The sequence below is a fragment of the Homo sapiens genome, chromosome 4, assembly GCF_000001405.40.
Source record: "Homo sapiens chromosome 4, GRCh38.p14 Primary Assembly".
NCBI classification, from domain to species: Eukaryota; Metazoa; Chordata; class Mammalia; order Primates; family Hominidae; genus Homo; species Homo sapiens.
The window spans coordinates 169268383-169291146 of NC_000004.12; the positions used below are offsets into that span (position 1 = coordinate 169268383).

Genomic DNA, 22764 nt, shown 5'->3' on the forward strand with positions numbered 1-22764 from the left:
AATTAAGGCTTGATTTCCTATTTATGATTTACCCACACACATACTTACAACATATATACTACATATGTACTACATACATGTAATTATGACTCTGAGCCCCATCAAAATGATAAAATACCAAATTTCCATTTTAAAATGGGCACAGAACAAAAGCTGGTTTAGATTTCATTCACTAATTGCTACTTGTTTCCCAAAATTTATCTTAAAAGATAACAGAGACTATCTAGAGATAATTTTCAAAACAATAAAATTTATTATTTATATCCAATCTCATTCCAAGATGGGGGAAAAAAATATTCAGAGGTATAATCTATCTGTTCCAGTATGTATGGTTTCCTAAGCAATGAGTTGACTTCGAAAACACCAAGCTAAAGAATAAAGAAAAAATGTGGACATTACCACCTTTATTCACCAAACTACCTCTGTAGGCTACTTACCCTCACTGGGGGGCTCCAGGATTGCACCCGAGGCTGCTGTCCGCCCTGGGAGCTCTGCAGATCTTTTGAGCTACAATTAGCCACAGTGCTGCTCTGAGACCTTAATGCATTTGTGCAGTTGGTCCCACTTCCCCCACCAGGACCAGGTTTCCAAGGCCTCTGTTTGATGCCATCCAGAAGTCTGACCAGCAAGATGTTACTGGGAAGCTCCTCGACACCCGAGCCAACAAGAGTCCTGCACTCGGGACATCTGAGTTCATTTCGAGAACCTACGATCCCCAGCAAACATCGCTTGCAAAACGTATGCTGGCAAGGCAAGACCTTCGCAGAAGCATCAAGGCGCTCTAGACACACCGGACACTCCAAAAGATCCAACAAGGCTGATTCATCCATCTTTATCTACTTTACTGAGAAAAAATCTTCAGAAATGTTCATAGTTGTGTGCATCCCTTAAAATGACTCATGTAACATCCATTTCAGACTTTGCTCTAGAGTCATGGGGAAAAGGGGGAAAAGAGAACATGAGTGTTGTTATCTAGGGAAAAAGTTCAAAGGAGCCAAGAATCAAAAAGTACCCAAAAGTACACTATTCCCTGTCTGAATAGTGTAGCTTTGCTTTGGAATGTGGGTTCCTAAACTCCAAAGTCAACAACTGAAAACAAAACAGGCTTTCTAAACAACGCAAAATTAACCCCTAAAGATATCTAGGGATTCACTGGGCAAACACAAGGCACAGAGTATTACATAATTCCCGCAGAAGGATTTATGAAGTGCAATAAGGAACATAATTTCTTAAGCTCTGAAAGTGGTATCAGCTGCCTTAATAAAGTCTTCAACTCATAGGAGAAGCTGACAGAGGCCATTGAAAGTTTCCTCTACCTGAAATTTACTTTTATATCCAACTAAATTCCCTTTTTTAAGCCACTTTAGCGTTTAAGAAACCATGCCTCATGTAATCGCTCGTGGTAAATGATCCCAATATTAAATACATATGTTTCTTCGCTGTTATTAAAAATAGAACTGTTTAATTTTGCCCAACCAAAAAGAGCTGAAGGTTGACAATTCTAAAAGACACAGATTTGCTTGAAAGCAGCTAAAACAGAAAAGCGCCCTTCAGGGCAGTAGTTGATAAACTCTGAAACACATTTCTGAACGGCCTGTCCTAATCCCATTCAGAAAAGCTGGCAAAATTATCACCAAAAGAATTCGACAATGGAAGGTTGGACTGGAAACTGTGGGCATATGAAAATGAGGCCATTCAGGAAAAAGCAAGCCACTTACTGCGCCGCTCTCCCCCCACCGCCAAAATAAATGTAAAAGTGAATGCCCAGGAGAACGGGAGTAAAAAGATTTGGCTGGGAGCATTAACAGCTGTTCTTGACAAAGCCGGAGCGGGGGAGCCCCAGGGCTGCACCCCCGCTCCCACGGCGCCAAGCACAGGTACTCCCAAGCCCGCAGGGAGGCGCGGCGGCCGCTCGCCGCAGACACACCCCGGGGCCAGGTGTCGGCGGCACCCGGCAGGAGCCGGTCGCGGCCTGGGGCTGCGGCCCGGCCGGTCCCGGCGTGGGGATCTCACCCTACAGCCTCCCTCATCTCCGCCTCCCTTTAGCTCAGGCCGGGGACACAAATCCCTCTACACGACTGCGGGAAGTTTTCAAGGACTTAAAAATAAATGCGCAGGCTTAAGTTGCGAAACTCAGCCCCACAGAGTGCCACGGGGAAGCAGCTTTCTAGCCCAGCCAAGATAAGGCGACAGTCCCCAGAGAGACCGCGCCATCCGGGAAGCAGGGGGTGCTGGGCTGCGCCCGGGGAGACCGCGGCACGGAGCCCTGGCAGCTTCCTGCCCGGAGAAGGCAGAGGCCGCGGGCTGCTCCGCTTCCGCAGGTCCTGATTCCCGGCCCACGGGGACCCGAGGGCGAGGGGAGAGAGAGACCGACCCAGGGCGGGGATGGGGGAATGTCGAGACCACCGCCTTCTCCGCGGCTAGGGGTCCGCCGACGCTGGGTCCCCGTCGACCCCGCGCCGGCCGCGCGCCCTACCTCGCGCCTCGGCTCCTCCTCTTTGTTCGCGGCCCCGCAGCGGCTGCGGCGGCTGATGCAGATGCGGCCCCACCGCGCTCGCCGCTCGCAGTGTCTCTGACGCCGCGGCGGCACCGGGAGACTCCTCTCTGCTGCCCCCCTCACGCGCGCACACACACCACGCCGCCGCCGCCGCCTCCCACTTTCCCAGCCAAGGAGGGCGGAGGAAGAGGAGGAGGAGGCCGGGACGCAGCCGGCGCCCGGGGCGCAAGGGGGCGGCCCCGCGCCACAGCGCCTTCCCCGGGAGCGGGCGCGGCACCTCTCGGAGCCACCCGCCGCCGCGCCGGCCTCCCGCGCTGAGGTGACCTGCGCCCAGTACCCCGCCGGAGCCCGGGGGCGGGATTGGGGCGGCGGCCTGAGGGGGCGCTGCAAGAGCCTAGAGGATGGGGAGCGGGGCCCCCAGGGGACTACGAGGGGAAGGCTCGGGGACGGACGCCTTCTCCCTGAGGAGAACGCGCCTGAAAAATGGAGCCACCGGACGGGAAGGCGGCGGGAGTGGAGGCTGGGGGAAGCAGGAAGAAGCCCCGGGACAGGGTCCCGCCGCCTCCTCCTCCCCCCGGCGGGGCTGGGAGCCCTGGACGGACCCTTCCTCCCCAGGCTGGGCGAGTCGCGGCGCGGGAGGGGCTGGGTCCGCGGAGGCGGCGGGAGCAGCCCTGGCGGGAACCGATCCCGCTGCGCTTTGCGTCTGGTTGCCCACCCCGGACACTTACTTGGTAGAGTCGGAGCGAAGTGTTGCCCCTTAGGGCCGAGAGCGGCGTGGTGAATCGATGGGGACAGTGCCGCGGCCACCTGTCCGCACCCAGCCATCAGTCACCCCAGGACCCAAACCGGAGCAAGCCTGGAGGACCGCTGACCCCAAAGCCCAAGACTAGGAAAACGGTAGTACGGACTTCCAACCCAGGCTCGGGGGCTCTGTTATCCCTGCCCTAAGTGGGGAGAATTGAGTCTGACCTCAGGTGGGCTGGCACCGCAAAGCACGCTGAGAGGCGCCTCTTTTATCTGAGCCTGGGTGGCTGCCATCATCGCAGTAATCTTTGTTTTGGTTGCCCCAAGCACACACCTGTAAACCGAAGTGGAGTTTTGAAAAACATCTTGTCCATAGGTTTTGAGGTTTTTCAGTCTCGATTTAGTGGAGAAGCAAGTTAAAATTTTGTCACTGATCTAAAGTTGACATTACTATATTTGCATTTACCATCAATTTACAAAAAGTTATCCCAAATACCCCTCCTCAAAGGTGGGCAGAAACTAGGTGGTTATAAGAAGAAAGGGTTACAACAGATGATGCAAGAAATCTCTGCCCAGCCACCAACTAGGTTTATGATTTGACGAGGAGTCTCAGTTTATCCTCTAGTCTCCAGCTAGGGCCACAGCTAAACCATTCAAGACATAAGGATCACATAAGCCTGAAAAAATTATGACAGCTAACAATGATCACTCACTGTAAATCAGGCACTGTGCTGAACATTTTTCATGCATCAGTTCAATTCTCTCAGCAACCCTCTATGTCATCTTTTCTCAGCCTTGTTCTAAATAGATTCATATGCTGAGAGTCATAATGTATGAAAACCAAAAATAATAGCCCACTTCCCCTTCCATTAGAAGTGAGCAAATACATGGGCATTTGAGCTGAGAAAGACGACGGAAGGAATGAATGGAATGGAGAATTTCTAGTCCAGTTTGCAAACTGAAAGTTACTACTTAGTTCTGCATGTGGAACTGGGCAGATAGATGAAGATGAGGCTGACCAGAAGATTACAGTCAATAAACAGATAGGGATTATTTGCAGTTATTAAAACTGAAGCTCAAATAGGTTAACTTTCCCCTGGTCACACAGTAAGTAATGTTGAACCAAGACTCAGTCCCAGCTCTCTGGATTCCAAGTCCAGTTCTCTTTGCACCATTCCAAGGCCCTGTCTTTTGCACAGGACCGTCATATCCCCACCCTAGGCAAAGCAAAGCAGTGTGTCTCTTCCCAAGGGAAAGAAGAAACTGTTAATCATGTAATTACTCGAAAGCAAGGGACAGTTTTTATTGTGTTCTTATTTTGGTTTCCTATGTATTTTTAGAGAGCAGCACACAAGGTCATAGATAGAATGGTGCAGCTCTTGAAACTCCTGGCAAAAGAAAATCAATAGTCACACCCATTTTCTTTTCTTTTCTTTTTTTTTTTTTTTTTGAGACGGAGTTTCACTCTTATTGCCCAGGCTGGCACCCACCACACCCAGCTAATTTTGTATTTTTAGTAGAGACGGGGTTTCTCTATGTTGGTCAGGCTGGTCTCGAACTCCTGTGACCTCAGGTGATCTGCCCGCCTCAGCTTCCCAAAGTGCTGGGATTACAGGCGTGAGCCACGGCGCCTGGCCACACCCGTTTTCAAAGAACTGAAGACAGTGTGTCCCAAGACTGCAGTGGTCGAAGAATCTGGCATACATCTCATGAATATTATCTGGGATGTGGCTGCAGTTCTTTGAATGCCCCTGGTGCATGTTCTATAGTTTTTAGAACACAACACTTTTATTAGCTTTAGTTACTCCAGCTGTAAAGTGAAGTTTTAGGCAAGTTACTTTAACCTCCTGAGCCATTTTCTGTCAAATGGTTGAAAAAAAAAATATCTTTCTCAGAGTGTTGTGGGATGACTAGATGAGACAACATGCTGGTTCTTTGTAATCTGTATATCTCTATTAAAGTCAGATAGCATCATTATCATAATCTGCCAAGAATCACCCAGGCAGTTATTCTGGGCAAAGTCCTTTCTTCCCAGGGTCTTAAAAAAGTTTGGGATAGGCCAGGCACGGTCACTCACACCTGTAATCCCAGCACTTTGGGAGGCCGAGGCAGGTGGATCACCTGAGGTCAGGAGTTCAAGACCAGCCTGGCCAACATGGTGAAAACCTGTCTCTAGTAAGAATACAAAAAAAAAAAAAAAAAAAAAAAAATTAGCCAAGCATGGTGGCAGTCACCTGGAATCACAACTACTTGGGAGGCTGAGGCAGGAGAATTGCTTGAACCTGGGAAGTGGAGGTTGCAGTGAGCCGAGATTGCGCCACTGCACTCCAGTCTGGGTGACAAAGCAAGACTCTGTCTCAAATAAATAAATAAGTTTGGTATAATTCTAGTAATTGCAAAGTCCTGTCAATAATATAGGGAAAGGGGCAGTTGGGGAAGAGAAGCATGTTCATCTTTTCATGTCTGGGAACTGAACATGAAGGAAGGAATGTAAGCATGTTGTGCTTAAGATCCCTGTGACTTTGAGTAGAACCATGAAAAACATAAAACACACCCTGTGACATAATAATGATAGCTTGCGTTTACACAGTTCTTATCCTCCCAAGACTTCAAAGGACTTTCATATATATTATCTCATCTGTCTTCTCAGCATCCCTCAGAAGCGGTAAAGACAGATATGATTATTTCCATGTAGACGGGAAACAACAAGATGTAGATAAGTTATTGCTCTAAGTGGTGACAAAAATCAGATACTTAAATATCCAATCCAGAGCACTCTTTGGTAAACTTTGGTACTATGCTTTCACACGGATATATATACATGTGTCTGATTATCATTTTCCTTCAAACCTTGTTTCTTCTCCAGTTGCCATGATATTGGTAAATGATAGCACTCTTCATTCAGTTGTTCAAACTAGAAACCTAGGGGTCATCTTTGATTTCCCTTTTCCTCTCCATCAATTCTGCTAGCTTCTCCCAAAATATATTTCAATTTATACCCACTTTCCTTTGCCTCCAGTGCAAGTTTATTTAAGCCACCATCACCCTTTGTCTCTGTCCGTCCTAAACCAGCCTCTCTGTTTCCACTCTTGTCCCCATAATCTCGCCCAGAATGTAGTAACATTCAGAGTGAGCAACAAAAAATGCATAACATATCAGTTACTACATTGCTCCAAACTCATCAATTACTTCCCATCATGCCTGAAATTTAGAGTCAAACATAGTCTTTGTCTTACAAGACTCACTGCCACTTGGACCCTGCACCACTGCATCCCAGCATAGTACTCTTTCTGTCTTCTTTGCAGCACTTTTTGTGGTCTAATTTTTTTGATTCCTTATTTATTGCCTATCTTCTTTACCTGAATATAAGTTCCCTGAAGTCAGTGACTGGGTCTGTCTTCTTTACCATTACGTCCTTCACAGCCAACACATAGTGGGTTCCAGTAACTAATTCTCAAATAAGGAGTTAATCAAGTATACAGTTACATTTCTTGCTATCCTAAATCTACATAGATATTTAGTACCTCACTGCCCTACAGATGGGAAATCAGGCAAGCAATGTTCCAAGTTCCATTGAGAGTCTTTCTTATAAACTATCAATCAGTAAGTTTGATGTAGAAGATGAGGACACATGATTCTTGATTCTTCCTCTTATGTTTCACAGTTAAGCTGCAGAAACAGCTTAACACCAGCTCTGTAACACAGAACATAAACGCAATGCCAGTTTATCTTTATTCAAGGTCTTAGTTAATGACGTCACCATCCCCTCAGTTCCCCAGGCAAGCAAGAAAATGCAGATTATCTTCAGCTTCCCCTTCCCCCCCTGATCCCTCCCCCTCCTACCATCCAGATGGATGATCCAGAGAGCATCAGAAGTGCTTCTTACATCTCTCTTTTCCTCCCAATCCTTATTTCAGTCCTGCCTATCTCCTACTTGGACAATAAGTATCTGCTTCCATTTCTCTCTAGTGTACCTGATTATGGAGAGAGCTTTGGAGTCAACGTTTCTACAACCTACTAACTGGGTGACCTTGGGCAAGTTTCCAGTCTTCTGTGCCTGAGTTCCCCCTGTAAAATAGGTATAACAATACTACCTACCACAGAGTTTTTGTGGTGATTTTATATACATTAATAAAAATGAAATGCTTAAAACTATGCCTGACACATGGTAAGTGCTTAATTAATGACAGTATTATTTTTATAGATCCACTACCTAACTGAATGACTTTGCAAATTTCTTTAATTTTTTTGAGTTTCAACTTCCTTATCTATACAAATGGATATAATATATACTTTGAAAGCCTGATGTAAAAAAACTAGGGACAAAATGAAAAGCCTAGTATAGCACCTTCCTGGCACTTAGTAGGGACCCAATAAAATGTTTGTTTCTTGCCTTTTTTACTACGTATCTGTCTGCATCTGTTTCCATATAATTAGGAAGTGGATTGGATTTTATCTAAGGTTCCTTCCAGCGTTAATTATTTCCATCCCAACTGCACAAAGGACATCTAAGGGCAATGGAATCCCCTTGTATAAAGCCAAGTGGTCATGAGGCACCATAGTTGTCAGGAAACTGGGCTCTTAGAGTCAGGCAAGCCCAGAGAGGCTATTTTGGTCTGCAGTAGTGGGAAGGTGGTGCAAACTCCACTGTCTGGCAAAAAAATCTGAGCAGATGGAATATTTATAGGCACTCCCCAAGGATTTCAGTTCGATCAGGAAGGATGCTAGGAAGAAAGTTAGACTGATGAGTAGGAGGTAACTGAACTGCATCTTCCTCCAGCCTTCTTGAAACAGGTCTGAACATTTGAGAAGCTGTTTTTTGGGTTGGTTTGTTTTGTTTTGTTTAAGACAGGGTCTTGCTTTGTCACCCAGGCTACAGTGCAGTGGCACAATATCACTGCAACCTCCACCTCCCAGCTCAAGCGATCCTCCCACCTCAGCCTCCCGAGTAGCTGGGACTACAGGCACACACAACCATGCCCAGCTAAGTTTTTGTATTTTTGGTAGAGATGGGGTTTTGCCATGTTTGCTAGGCTGGTCTTGAACTCCTGAGCTCAAGCGATCCACCCGCCTTGGCCTCCCAGAGTGCTGAGATTACAGGCATGAGCCACCACACCCGGCTAGAGAAGCTGTGTTTGACAATGAAATATCTGGAGAAAGTTAGAGTTCTCTATACGGACTAATTCTAACCCAGCCTTCAGGGAGAGATTCTTGAGGTTTAATGCAATCAGAACCACCTGAAACACTGGTTTAAAATTCAGACGTGCTCGCCTCATCCCTGGAGAGTTAGTAGGTCCAGCCTGGGTTCAAGAATCAGGTGATTCTCATGTACATGATGCTGGGACCACAAACTGAGAAACACAAAGGTAGGCTTGTCCAGAGGCACATTTAAAAGGAAATAACCCAGGCACTGACCAGGGAAGCTAATTTTAAAAGGGCACTCTAGGGCTTTGTTTTTGTTGAGAAGGATATGGGATCTATGAGCCAGAGCTAGTTTGCTAGGGACAATAGGAGAGGGATTGAGTGTGGCCACCTCCATTCATTCCAGTCTGTGCCCCTCTTCCCTGCCCACCCTCCATACAGCACTCAGCCTCTCCTCTTAATAAATGCTGGACAGATTTTTAAAGGATATCAGTTTTAAAAGGGAGCTAAAATATTAGCCTGCCCAGAGAAACACACACGCTGGCCCCAGCCCACTCCAGGACCCCAAATGTGAACAGAGGTCACCCGTGTCAAGCCTCAGAAGGTCCTGTTGTTTAGTACTGTTAGATTTCAACAAAAACATGCCTGAAAATTAGATGCCTCTAATATATTTCTGACCAAAGTTCAAAGATAAATTTAACCTATATGAGGAAAAAAAAATAGGAGTTGTTCCTTTCTATTAAAACTAATTTTTCTTGTCAAATGCCATTATCATTTTAAAAGTTCAAACCTTGAAGTGGTCTTTTTGCTCACAAGCAAACTTTACCTAAACCAAAGTATTAGGGAGAGACTAGATAAATATCCATCACTTTATCTAACCATCTTCAGGAAATGAAATTCCATAATCTTCCTCGGTAACCATCTTTATATATTAAAGATTATTTATCAATTTTCAGATTTCTTTCTTTCTGATCAAATTTAAAGATAATGGTAAACTTTTCTAATGCATCTAAATAGGCCAGCTTAAAAATACACACAAAAAGCAAACATGTGCATGGATTCACCAGAAACTCAAAAATTATGACCCAGGTTTCTTTTTAAATTATAGTGTTAGGCAAAGGATGTTGGCCGCCTTTATCAGTTTTACCCACCCTAATTCATATGTGTAATCAAATACAAGCCTATATTCTCTGATTCCATAATGAGTAGAAATGATCCCATCATAACATTTTCTTCTGTTTATAGCTAACTCTTTTATTTATTTATTTATTTATTTATTTATTTATTTATTTTTATTTATTTATTTTTTGAGACAGAGCCTCACTCTGTTGCCCAGGCTGGAGTGCAATGGCACGATCTCAGCTCACAGCAGTCTCTGCCTCCCAGGCTCAAGTGATTCTCCTGCCTCAGCCTCCCTAGTAAATGGGATTACAGGCGCATGCCACCATGCCTGGCTAATTTTTGTATTTTTAGTAGAGACGAGGTTTCACCATGTTGGCCAGTCTGGTCTCAAATTCCTGACCTCAAGTGATCCACCTGCCTCAGCCTCCCAAAGTGTTGGGATTACAGGCATAAGCCACCGCACCTGGCCAACATAACTTTAAAAATTAAATTCCATCATCTTTTTATGCCATATAAATTAATCTGATAGAGTATCTGATACATTTATTACAAAGCTTTCCCCATGTAAATTATACATATAATAAAAGTGCTGAGTAACTCATCAAAAAATTTAGTAATGATTGATGTTACTGAATTAAACCTAAGTGTAGCAATATAGAAAATAATGTTTTAAATAATCTTTCTCAAATAATCTCTTTCCCCTGTAATTCAAATAAAAGGCTGTAGAGTGTTTAAAAAAATAGGAACCCAAGATGATATCAGTCCAGTTGACATTCTTTCTCTTTGACAAGATTGTAGAAGACTAAAGATTAAGATAATTTCCTTGTTTTCCATAATGCTTTTATGCAAAAATGATGATTTGCATAATTTCTTTTCAGTCTCAATTGAATTTCTGAAGCTATTTTTCAAGCAAACTTCCACATGTCTCCAGTGTACACCATCTGTCTCATCTCTCTTTCTCTCCTTTTTTAAAGTATTACAATTATCTTGTAACAGGCACTGTCAAATCTTTATTCCCCAAGGATTCTTTCTTTTGATAAATGAAAAGGAACTGTATATATTGTTATGTGTAGTTGTATGAATGTGACAGGGGTTAAGGAAAGGTTAGATGTTCAAAGCTGTTATGGCTAAGTTGACATATTAGAGGAAATGTGATCAGGTAAGTTGGCCAGAGTTTTAAAATCAGATCCTTCACTATAGGAAAATGAAGAAATGTTTAGTCAAAAGGTCAGGGGGAGGGAGGATCTTAAAGCAAAGAAGAATTTGAAAATAGTCTGTGGCCCATACTACAAAGCATTAAAGAAAATATGGGGAAAAAAGAGGGATGGCTTTACTCACAAGCTGCAAATTACTTATAAAGCCTATTGGCATTTGGAAATGGTTGATGCTTTTACTAGGAGAATCAAGTTTTATGTTTACATAGTAAGTATATACTCAGCAGTAACTTCCAGGAAATCACATGGATTGCCAAGAAAAAGTCCTTATTGAAGCATTATTTAGAAAAAAAATCCTGCCAAAAACATTAAAGAGGCTTTTTAAAAATTGAAGTTCACAAGGAAATGCAATAGATAGAATTTATGTAGTACTCAGAATTTACAACTAATATATTTTATAGCATTTCATAAAACTTTTATTTGCAACTCAATTTCAATCAATTTGTAAAGCTCCAATTACTAAAAGTATAGTTAAAGTTACAGCTTTCCAGAATTATTAAAGAATGGTTCGCCTTAAAAAACCAACTCTTATTTGGAGGAAAACATTTAAAATACAGTAGGTATTGGCCAGGCACAGTGGCTCATACCTGTAGTCCCAGCACTTTGGAAGGCTGAGGCAGGCAGATCAGTTGAGGTCAAGAGTTTGAGACCAGACTTGTCAACATAATGAAATTCCCTCTCTACTGAAAATACAAAAAAAATTAGCCAGGCCTGGTGGTACATGCCTGTAATCCCAGCTACTCGGGAGGCTGAGGCAAGAGAATCATTGGAATCCGGGAGGCAGAGGTTGCAGTGAACTGAGATTGCACCACTGCACTCCAGCCTGGGCAACAGAGCAAGACTCTGTCTCAAAAAACATAAATAAATAAGTAAATAAATAAAATTATATATATATATAATATATATATAGTATGTATCACTGACTTTTGAAATAGAAGACATTGAAAAAATTAACATTTACAGATGACTGTGAGCCATCATTATAAACATCAGTTACTGTACAAATGTAGTAGTTAAGACTATAGAGTCAGACAGACTTGGGTTTGAATCCTGGCTCAAAATTTCTACTTATGTGACTTTAAGAAAGATATTTAACCACCAGGCGCGGTGGCTCATGCCTGTAATCCCAGCACTTTGGGAGGCTGAGGCACGTGGATCAACTAAGGTTGGGAGATGGAGACCAGCCTGACCAACATGGAGAAACCCTGTCTCTATTAAAAATACAAAATTAGCCGGGTGTGGTTGCACATGCCGCTAAACCCAGCCACTAGGTAGGCTGAGGCAGGAGAATTACTTGAACCTGGGAGGCAGAGGTTGCAGTGAGCCGAGATCGCGCCACTGCACTCCAGCCTGGGCGACAAGTGTGAAACTCCATCTCAAAAACAAAAAAGAAAGATATTTAAGCCTTAGAAACTATCTTAAGAAACTAAGATATGAGCCTTAGTTTCATTGTCTGTAAAATGGAGATAATGGTATCTACCTCATAGGTTGTCGTGAAGCTTAAAACAGATAATACATTTGTTTGTTTGTTTGTTTTAATTTTTATTTATTTATTTTGAGACAGAGTCTTGCTCTGTCACCCAGGCTGGAGTGCAGTGGTGTGATCTCGGTTCACTGCAACCTCCGCCTCCTGGGTTCAAACAATTCTCCTGCCTCAACCTCCTAAGTAGCTGGGATTACAGGTGTGCACCATCACCCCTGGCTAATTTTTGTATCTTTAGTAGAGATGGGGGTTTCACCATGTTGGCCAGGCTGGTCTCAAACTCCTGACCTCAAGTGATCTGCCAGCCTCTGCCTCCCAAAGTGCTGGGATTACAGGCGTGAGGCACTGCGCCCAGCCAAAAGAGGTAATACATTCGAGTGCTTAGTGTATTTACATGGGACTTAGAACTCAGTAAAGCTTAACCAGTCCTGGTATTATTAGTATTAGTGTTGGTATTGCCATGATTATTTTGCCTTGAGGCTTTTAGTAGCAGTTTTCTCTTGATAACACTAGAATTCTATATTTTTAAATCTTGCACAGTCATGCCACAGAGTGACTTTTCCATCAACAACACACTGCATATATGATGGTGGTCTCACAGAATTATAATGGAGCTGTAAAATTCCTGTTGCCTAGTGAAGTTGTAGCCGTCATAAAGTCATAGTGCAACGTGTTAATCACATGTTTCTGGTGATGCTGGTGGAAACAAGCCTATTGTGCTGCCAGTGGTATAACAGCATAGCATATACAGTTATGTATGGTACAGAATACTTGCTAATGGTAATAAATGATTATGTTCCTGGATTATGTATTTCCTCTACTATACTTTTTAATCATTATTTTAGAGTGTACTCCTACTTATTAAAAACAAAACTAACTGTGAAACAGCTTCAGGCAGGTCCTTCAGGAGGCATTCCTGAAGAAGACATTGTTATCATAGGAGATGACAGCTCCATGTGTGCTATTACCCCTGAAAACCTTCCAGTAAGACAAGATACGGAGGTGAAAGACAGTGATGCTGATGATCCTGACAGCGTGTAGGCCTAGGCTAATGTGTGTGCTTATGTCTTTTTTTTTTAATTATTTTTTTTTAGATGGGAGTCTTTCTCTGTCGCCCAGGCTGGAGCGCAGTGGCACAATCTCGGCCCACTGCAACCTCCGCCTCCCTGGTTCAAGCAATTCTCCTGCCTCAGCCTCCTGAGTAGCTGGGACTACAGGCATGGGCCACCACACCCAGCTAATTTTTGTATTTTTAGTAGAGACGGGGTTTCACCATGTTGGCCAGGATGGTCTCAATCTCTTGACCTTGTGATCCACCTGCCTTGGCCTCCCAAAGTGCTGGGATTACAGGCATGAGCCACCGCGCACAGCCTATGTCTTCATTTTTAACAAAGAAGTTTAAAATGAAAAAAAAAATATTAAAGAATGAAATCATGTCTTTTGCAGCAACATGGATGGAGCTTGAGGCCATTAACCCAAGTGAACTCAGAAACAGAAAACCTAATACCACATGTTCTCATTCATAAGTGGGAGCTAAACAATAAGTACACATGGAAATAAAGGTGGAAATTATAGACATTGGGGACTCCAAAAGGAGGGAAGGTGGATGAGGAGCAGGGATTTAAAAAGTATCTGTTGAGTACAATGCTCACCATTTGGGTAATAGGTACTCTAGAAGTTTAAACTGCACCAGTACACATATACCCATGTGACAAGCATGCGCAGGTACTCCCTGAATCTATAATAAAATAAAAAAATTTAATAGAGAAAAGCTTGTAGAGTAAGGATATAAATAAAATATTTTTGTATAGCTGTACAATGTGTTTGTGTTTTAAGCTGTATTATTGCAAAGGAGTAAAGAGATTTTTAAAGAGTTTATAAAGTAGAAAAGTTACAGTAAGCAAAGATTACTATACTATTGGAGAAATAAATTTTTTTTATAAATTTAGTGTAGTTTAAGTGTACAGTGTTTATAAAGTCTACAGTGGTGTACAGTAATGTCCTAGGCCTTCACACTCACCCACCACTCACTCACTGACTCACTCAGAGCAGCTTCCAATCCTGCAAGCTCCAATCACGGTAATTGTCCCTAGACAGGTGTACCACTTAAAAAATCTTTTATACCCTATTTTTACTGTGTCTTTTCTGTTTAGATACACAGGTATTTACCACTGTGTCACAGTTGCCTGCAGTATTGAGTACAGTAACATGCTGTACAGATTTGTAGCCTAGGAGCAATAGGCTAAACCATATAGCCTAGATGTGTAGTAGGCTATACCTTCTACATTTGTGTAAGGGTACTCTATGATGTTTGCACAAAGATGAAATCACCAGTGACACATTTCTCAGAACATATCACTGTTGTTAAGCTATGCATGACTGTACTTAGAAACTTTTCTTTTGTTTTCTCTTTCTTCTCTTTTTACAGCCATCAGAAGCCGCCCAAACCTTTAATGGTGAGGGTTTGGAAGTGCCATATAGGAGGAAGAGTTTTGGAGGGCCCACTCCAACCATACTGCTTTGCCAGCACCTTTACTTCTCTGATATTGCTGAGCTCCAGACCCAGATTTCATTGACGTGATTCTCATTGTAAGAACCTGATCCTAAGTCTTTACACATTCTTGGCCTGTGCCATCCTCTGATGCTTGACTCTTACGTTTGGAATCCTCCTCTCCTACTCACCACCTCTTCACCCACTTTTGGTAAATAATCTTTCCCTGTAGATTTTATCTTTAATTCTTCTTGGACCTCCGTTCTCACATTTTTTTTTCTGAGCATGTTAGTCACTTGTCTTGCTTCCAACTGCTGGTTTTCTCAGATCCAGCCTTATTACTTGAGGCTTGGCAGCAGACGATTTCTTCTCACTGTTTCCACAGTAGCAGTCTTTCTCACTTAGTTTATCCACACTGCTAGCATCTCAGTAATCAATTAACCTATATCGTAAGACTTGTGAGTAGAGTGATAGAAATTAGTCAAAATGCAACAATACCATCAAAGTTCTTCATCTCCTTTTTCTTTTCTTTTTTTTTTTTTTTTTTTGAGATGGAGTCTCGCTCTGTCGCCCAGGCTGGAGTGCAGTGGTGCAATCTCCGCTCACTGCAAGCTCTGCCTCCCGGGTTCACACCATTCTCCTGCCTCAGCCTCCCCAGTAGCTGGGACTACAGGCGCCCGCCACCACGCCAGGCTAATTTTTTTGTATTTTTAGTAAAGACGGGGTTTCACCGTGTTAGCCAGGATGGTCTTGATCTCCTGACCTTTTGATCTGCCCACCTCGGCCTCCCAAAGTGCTGGGATTACAGGCTTGACCCACCGTGCCTGGACTTCATCTCCTTTTTCTTACCTGTATCCATCATTCCCTCCTAACCAATGTAATGGCTATGTGGCTTGCTTTCCTATCTTTCTACATGCTCATGTAACCATTTATAAAGCATATGTACATATAAAGAAAAAAAGAGGATTCAGCTAGGCACAGTGACTCAATTCTATAATTCCCAGTGCTTTGGGAGGCTGAGGCAGGAGAATTGCTTGAGACCAGGAGTTTGAGACCAGCCTGGGAAACATAGCAAGACTCTATCTCTACAAAAAAAAATTTTTTTTAATTAGCCAGACATGGTGGTGTGCGCCAGTAGTCCTAGCTACTCAGGAGGCTGAGGTGGGAGGATTGCTTGAGCCCAGGAGTTTGAGGCTGCAGTGAGCTATGATCACACCACTGCACTCCAGCCTGGATGAGACAGTGAGACCCTGTCTCTAAAAAAAATTAAAAAAAAAGGATTCTGTTTTATACATATACATTTCTCTGCATCTTGCTTTTCCTCTCTAAAACTATATATTGTAAGAATCCTATTCAGTCAACTGGCATAGAGCTGACTTATTCTAATGGCTGCATAGTTTTCCATGAGATGATTGTATCCCAATCATTTTTCTTTTCTTTTTCTTTCTTAATTTTCTTTTCTTTTTTTTCTTTCTCACTCTGTCTCCCAGGCTGGAGTGCAGTGGCACTATCACAACTCATGGCTCACTGCAGCCCTGATCTCCCAGGCTCAAGCAATCTTCCCACCTCAGCCTTTCCACCATGGGAGGCACACACCACCGTACCCAGCATTTTTTTTTTATTTTTATTTTTTATTGGTAGAGATGGAGTCTCACTATGTTTCCCAGGCTGGTCTTAAACTCCTGGGATCAAGCATCCTACTGCCACAGCCTCCCAAAGTGCTGGGATTACAGGCATGAGCCACACCCCCAGCCCGCAATCATTTTGCTGTTAGTAGTCATTCATTATTTTGTTTTTTGCTATGAAAAACAAAGCTGCAATAAACATTCCTGTTTCTATATCCTTACGTAGAGAATGGATTCTTCAGGATGGAATTTGCTGGTCAAGGGGAATGCGTATTCCTAATGGATGTTGCCACATTTCATACCACAAAAATGGAACATTCAGATATCTATCATGAAAGCATGAAAGTATCCATTCCACATTCCCAAATCACCCTTGCTGGCTGTTGTGCTTTTACATTTGTATTACTTTGGTAGGTGCCTCATGATATCTGATATACATATATGTACATATTATATATATGTGTATATATGTATGTATGTGTGGTTATATACGTGTGTGTGTGTGTGTGTGTGTGTGTGTGTGTGTGTGTTTATTTATTTATTTATTTATTTTGAGACAGAGTTTTGCTCTTGTTGCCCAGGTTGGGGTGCAATGGCGCGATCTTAGCTCGCTGTAACCTCTGCCTCCCAGGTTTAAGTGATTCTCCTGCCTCAGCCTCCTGAGTAGCTGGGATTATAGGCATGCGCCACCATGCCCACCTAATTTTGTATTTTTAGTAGATATGGGGTTTTACCATGTTGGCCAGGCTGGTCTCAAACTCCTGACCTCAGGTGATCTGCCTGCCTCAGCCTCCCAAAGTGTTGGGATTATAGGTGTGAGCCACCGCGCCCGGCCAATATATATATTGGGGCAGAGTCTTGCTCTGTCACCCAGGCTGGAGTCCAGTGGCATGATCTCTGCTCAGTGCAACCTCCTGGGTTCAAGCGATTCTCTTGCCTCAGCTTCCCAAGTAGCTGGTATTACAGGCGTGCACTACTGCCAGGCTAATTTTTGTAATCTTAGTAGAGACGGAGTTTCACCGTGTTGCCCAGGCTGGTCTCAACTCCTGGCCTCCAGCGATCCGCCCATCTCAGCCTCCCAAAGTGCTGGGATTACACGCATGAGCCACCATGCTTGGCCAGTATTTTAAATTGCATTTTTTCCTGACTACTAGTAATCTCTTTTAATTAGTTTATTTGTCAGTTGGGTTTTCTCTTAGTTGAATTGATCAGTCTTTTTTTTTTTTGAGACAGGGTCCGCTCTGTCACCCAGGCTGGAGTGCAGTGGCATGATCTCAGCTCACTGCACCCTCTGCCTCCCGGGCTCCAGCGATCCTCTGACCTCAGCCTCCCAAGTAGCTGGGACCACAGGCCGCGCTACCATGCTGCCTGGCCAATTTTGTGTGTGTGTATTTTTGGTAGAGCTGGGGTTTGCCATGTTGCCCAGGTTGGTCTGGAACTCCTGGGCTTAAGTGTTCTGCCCACTTCGGCCTTCCAAAGTGCTGGAATTACAGGCATGAGCCACTGTGCCCACCCGTGAATTGATTAGTGTTTATCTCCTCAGTTTAATAAGGGCTTTTTGTATGTTAAAAAGTTAACCACTTATCTGATATTTGCATTGCTAATACTTTTCCCAGTTGGTAAATAGTCTTTTCACTTTCTCTATAACTTTTTAATTTTAAACAATTTTGAAACACTTTCAAACTTACAGAAAAGTTGCTAGTACAATATAAAGAACTTTTATTTTCCTGAGCCATCTCAGAATAATTTGCCAATGTGATGCCCTGGCATCTCACAGACATTCTCCTACATAACCACAATACAACCATCAAAATTGGGACATTAACATTCATATATTGTGATCAGTAAATTTTGCTAATAATAATAATAATCCCCAATAATATCCTCTAGATCAGTAGTCCCCAAACTTTTTGGCACCAGGGACTGGTTTCATGGAAGACAATTTTTCCACAGACCAGGGGTGAGGGGGTGGTTTCAGGATGATTCAAGTGCATTATATTTATCATGCACTCTATTTCTATTATTATTACATTGTAATATATGATGAAATAATTATGCAACTCACCATAAGAATCAGTAGGAGAAATAATTATGCAACTCACCATAAGAATCAGTGGGAACCCTGAACCTGTTTTCCTGCAGCTGGACAGTTCCATCTGTGGGTGATGGGAGATAGTGACAGATCATCGGGCATTAGATTCTCATAACCTAGTGCACAACCTAGATCCTTCGCATGCACAGTTCACAATAGGGTTCATGCTCCTATGAGAATCTAATGTCACTGCTGATCTGGCAGGAGGTGGAGCTCAGGAGGTAATGCAAGTGATGGGGAGCAGCTGTAAATACAGAAGTTTAGCTTGCTTGCCCGCCACTCAACTCCTGCTGTGTGACACAGTACCAGTGATGGCCCCTAGGGGTAGGGGACCCCTGCTTTAAGAGAAAAAAGCCATCCCATTCAGAAGCACACATTGCATTTCTTTCTCATGTGTCTTTAATTTTCTTCAACTTGGAAATTATTTCTCATTCTTGAATTCTTTTTAAGTTTATAGGCCAGATATATTGTAGAATTTGGGTTTGAAAATATTCCTCATTATTAGATTCAAATTATGCACCTTTGGAAAAAAATTCAATGAAGCAAGAAGCAACATTGTATTCCTCGTGTCAGATGGCACATGCCTTGGATTTGTTGTCCAATTTGATAGCTTATTTAAGATGATGTCTTTTCTTCTTCTCCAGCATGAATTTATGTTTTCTTTCTCTAGTATTCTTTCAGGAAGTACTTTGAAACTAAGTAAATACTCTCTTATCAAACTTTTAATTTATTCATATATTTATATGTACCAATATGTACTCATGGTTCTTAATTTCCTTCAAAGGACTATATGTGTTACTATCATTAATTCATAATTTTGATGCTTAATTTCTCCCAGTCCAGTGAAGGAAAATGATAGCCAGAAACACAGGTGTAACAACAGGCTTATTGACTTAGCCGGGCTTAATAGGGTGTAGTCAGGGAACAGCTTTGTTTTCTTCCACTCTTGCCTCAAGCATTTTTTGTCAGAAACATTTTCCTTGCTCTTGGTGACTTTTCCGATAGATCCCATGAGTTTTTCAGTCACTTCAGATTCTAACAACACTACCATTTTTAGATTATGTAGTTCCATCCAACCTAAAGTAAAACCTCAGTATCTCATCCAATTCAAAGTTTATCCTCTCTCCCTAGCTCAGGCCTGATTCACTACCTTCCATGCCACTGGCTAGGAGGGGTCTGATTGCTCCTGTTACCTACCTGCCCCCCTGTATTAGTCTGTTTTCACACTGCTATAAAGATACTACCCGAGACTGGGTAATTTATAAAGGAAGGAAGTTTAATTGACTCACAGTTCTGCATGGCTGGGGAGGCCTCAGGAAACTTATAATCATGGTGGAAGGGGAAGCAGACACCTTCTTCACAAGGTGGCAGGAGAAAGCGAAGGGGGAAGAGCCCCTTGTAAAACCACCAGATCACATGAGAACTCACTCACTATCATGAGAACAGCATGGGGAAACTGCCCCCCGATCCAGTCACCTCCCTCCCTCTACACATGGGGATTACAAATTAGAGATGAGATTTGGGTTGGGACACAGAGCCAAACCATATCACCCCCACAAGGCTCCTCCAGAGTTGGGGTGGGCAGTGTGGGGGCGGGGAAGAAGGCACGCCAGCAGCACTGTTTGCACTTTTCTCTTGCCTGTCATATGACCTCTCTCACATCACATTTTCAAATTCTAGTTCTTTCTTGGTGTGCGGCAGTTGAGCCTTTGGAGATTTCCCTGAAATTTTATCTCTTTGGGGGAGTCTTACATAAGAATCAGCTTTTAGATTTATTTCCCCTTTATACTTTGTTTTCTGTTCATTAATTTTCATCTTTATTCTCTCTTCCAAATTTATGTTTTGTTTATTTTGGTGTTCTTGTTCTAAATTTTTTAACTGGACCTTAAATATTTTTTAACTTTTTTTCCTTTTTTTTTGAGACAGAGTCTCACTCTGTCACCCAGGCTGGAGTGCAGTGGCACGATCTCGACTCACCGCAACCTCTGACTCCTGGTTCAACCATCATGCCTGGCTAATTTTTGTATTTGTTGAAGAGGCAGGGTTTCACCATACTGGCCAAGCTGGTCTCAAACTCCTGACCTCAAGTGATCTGCCTGCCTTGGCCTCCCGAAGTGCTGGGATTACAGGGGTGAGCCACTGTGCCTGGCCTAAATTTTTTCCTTAATAATAAAATATTTAAGGCTATGAATTCCCATAGGAATAATTTGAACTATGTTGTGTATATTTTGGTATGAACTTTTTCCTCATTGCTTTGTATATGGTTTGTAATTTCAGTTTTGTTTACATTTTGATAAGAGTTATTTAGAATATTGTTTCTTTCTTCTTTTTTTTTTTGAGACAGAGTCTCGCTCTGTCACCCAGGTTGGAGTACAGTGGCACAATCTCAGCTCACTGCAACCTCTGCCTCCTGGGTTCCAGCTATTCTCATGCCTCAGCCTCCCAAGTAGCTGGGACTGCAAGCACGCACCACCACACACAGCTAATTTTTTTTTTCTTTTTTTCTTTCTGTATTAGTAAAGATGGGGTTTCACTATGTTGCCCAGGCTGGTCTCAAACTCCTGGCCTCAAGTGATCCATCCACCTCAGCCTCCCAAAGTGCTGGGATAATAGGAGTGAGCCACCGCACCTGGCCTAGAATATTTTTTCTTAATTTTCAAGTAATTAGAGGGTTTTTTGAGGGGTATCCCTTTTCATTACTTACTCCTTTTATTTTCTTTTTTGGATTATAATCAGGGAATGTGGCCTATAAAATCTCTACTCCTGTATATTGACTTAGATATCCTTTGGAAACAAAAACAAGATTAACTTTTGTAAATGTTCCATTAAAACACAAAAGAAATATAGTTATGAAATGTAACATTCCATACATGTTTTAGGTCAAATTTGTTGTTTGTTTTATTCTATTCTTCTGTTTCTATTTATTTTGTCTGTTAGATATATGTGAGTCTGAAAAAGGTGTGTTAAAATCTCCTAACATAAAGATTATGCTTTATATGTTTAGCTACTACAATGATTGGTGAACATGACTTATGATTGTTATACCTCTGTTATCAATTTGCCTTTTGTCATTACATATTAATATGCATGCTGTTTGGACCGCTAATAGGACCGCTAGACTTGACTTCTTTTGATTTATATTTATCTGGTGGATCTTTTTTTTTTTTTGAGATGGAGTCTCGCTCTGTTGCCCAGGCTGGAGTGCAGTGGCACGATTTCAGCTCACTGCAACGTCTGCCTTCAAGCGATTCTCCTGCTTCAGCCTCCCAAGGAGCTGGGATTACAGGTGCCTGCACCACACCTGTATAATTTTTTTGTATTTTTAGTAGAGAAGGGGTTTCACCATGTTGGCCAGGCTGGTTTCGAACTCCTAACCTCAGGTGATCCACCCGCCTTGGCCTCCCAAAGTGCTAGGATTACAGGCGTGAGCCACCGTGCCCGGCAGTATCTTTTTACATATCCTCTGAAGTTTAACTTTTCTTTCTCACTTTGTTTAAAGTGAGTTTCTTTTGTTTGTTTGTTTGTTTGTTTGAGGCGGAGTCTCCCTCTATCACCCAGGCTGGAGTGCAATGACATGATCTGGGCTCACTGCAACCTCTGCCTCCTGGGTCCAAGTGATTCTCCTGCCTCAGCCTCCTGAGTAGCTGGGATTACAGGCATGTGCCACCACGCCCAGCTAATTTTTGTATTTTTAGTAGAGACAGGGTTTTGCCATGTTGGCCAGGCTGGTCTTGAACTCCTGATCTCCAGTGATCCGCCCGCCTCAGCCTCCCAAAATGCTACGATTACAGGTGTGAGCCACAGTGCCTGGCCTAACGTGGGTTTCTTAAGTAATATGTGTTTGGGTTTTGATTTTTAAATCACACCGTCAGTTGCCACTAGTTATTATCCTACTACTTTCTGATATTAAAGTTGTAGTTAGAAATCTAAAGCCAGTCTTAATCTTTTTCTATGTAAACAATTTGTTCTTTCTATCTAGAAGACTGTAGAACTTTGTCATTACCCTTGGAATTACAACACAGTAATGGAATCTCTAGTGTGTTCCGGTTTTCATCCCCTGTTCCTTGAAACTCAAAGAATTCTGAGGATGAAACTCTTTCTTTAGCTCTGTAAAATTTTCTTCACCTGTTTGTTTAAATATTGTCTCTCCTCCTTCGATTGCTTTACTCTTCTGAAATTCCTATTTATTTACAAGTTACAACTTCTAGATCCATCTTCTGGTTCCTTTATATTTGCTTTTTTGATGTCTGACTTTAAATGTTTGCTTTTTTGAGAGATTTCTTTCCCTTGTACTTCCAGACCTCTGTTCACTTCTCAATAGTTACCATACACTTTTTCAGTACATCTGCTATAT

At 42.7% G+C, this 22764-nt stretch overlaps 1 protein-coding gene and 1 long non-coding RNA gene across 2 annotated transcripts in view, besides 4 other annotated features; both read right to left on the minus strand.

The window, feature by feature from the left end:
- Positions 1 to 2574, minus strand: part of SH3RF1 (SH3 domain containing ring finger 1) — a 176698-nt gene extending 174124 nt beyond the window's left edge. The window contains exons 1-2 of the mRNA NM_020870.4: positions 2477 to 2574; positions 438 to 925 (exon numbers count right to left, since the gene is read on the minus strand). Of these exons, the coding sequence (NP_065921.2) occupies positions 438 to 830 (393 nt within the window). The 5' untranslated portion in view covers positions 831 to 925; positions 2477 to 2574. The remainder of the gene's footprint in view (positions 1 to 437; positions 926 to 2476) is intronic.
- Positions 1795 to 2014: a silencer, noted in NCBI's record as "silent region_15790". NCBI's record gives its function as "represses an Ori minimal core promoter by ATAC-STARR-seq in GM12878 lymphoblastoid cells {active_cell/tissue: GM12878}" and the evidence as "EXISTENCE:reporter gene assay evidence [ECO:0000049][PMID:35858748]".
- Positions 2255 to 3014: a silencer, noted in NCBI's record as "silent region_15791". NCBI's record gives its function as "represses an Ori minimal core promoter by ATAC-STARR-seq in GM12878 lymphoblastoid cells {active_cell/tissue: GM12878}" and the evidence as "EXISTENCE:reporter gene assay evidence [ECO:0000049][PMID:35858748]".
- Positions 3055 to 3204: a silencer, noted in NCBI's record as "silent region_15792". NCBI's record gives its function as "represses an Ori minimal core promoter by ATAC-STARR-seq in GM12878 lymphoblastoid cells {active_cell/tissue: GM12878}" and the evidence as "EXISTENCE:reporter gene assay evidence [ECO:0000049][PMID:35858748]".
- LOC105377529 (uncharacterized) overlaps positions 6882 to 22764 on the minus strand; it is a 55915-nt gene continuing 40032 nt past the window's right edge. Inside the window, exon 3 of the long non-coding RNA XR_939438.3 lies at positions 6882 to 6935. This is a non-coding gene — a long non-coding RNA (uncharacterized LOC105377529). The remainder of the gene's footprint in view (positions 6936 to 22764) is intronic.
- Positions 21957 to 22121: a silencer, noted in NCBI's record as "fragment chr4:170211490-170211654 (GRCh37/hg19 assembly coordinates)". NCBI's record gives its function as "represses an EF-1alpha promoter that drives an FKBP-Casp9 reporter gene in an ReSE screen in phorbol 12-myristate 13-acetate-treated (for megakaryocytic differentiation) K562 erythroleukemia cells {active_cell/tissue: K562(+PMA)}" and the evidence as "EXISTENCE:reporter gene assay evidence [ECO:0000049][PMID:32094911]".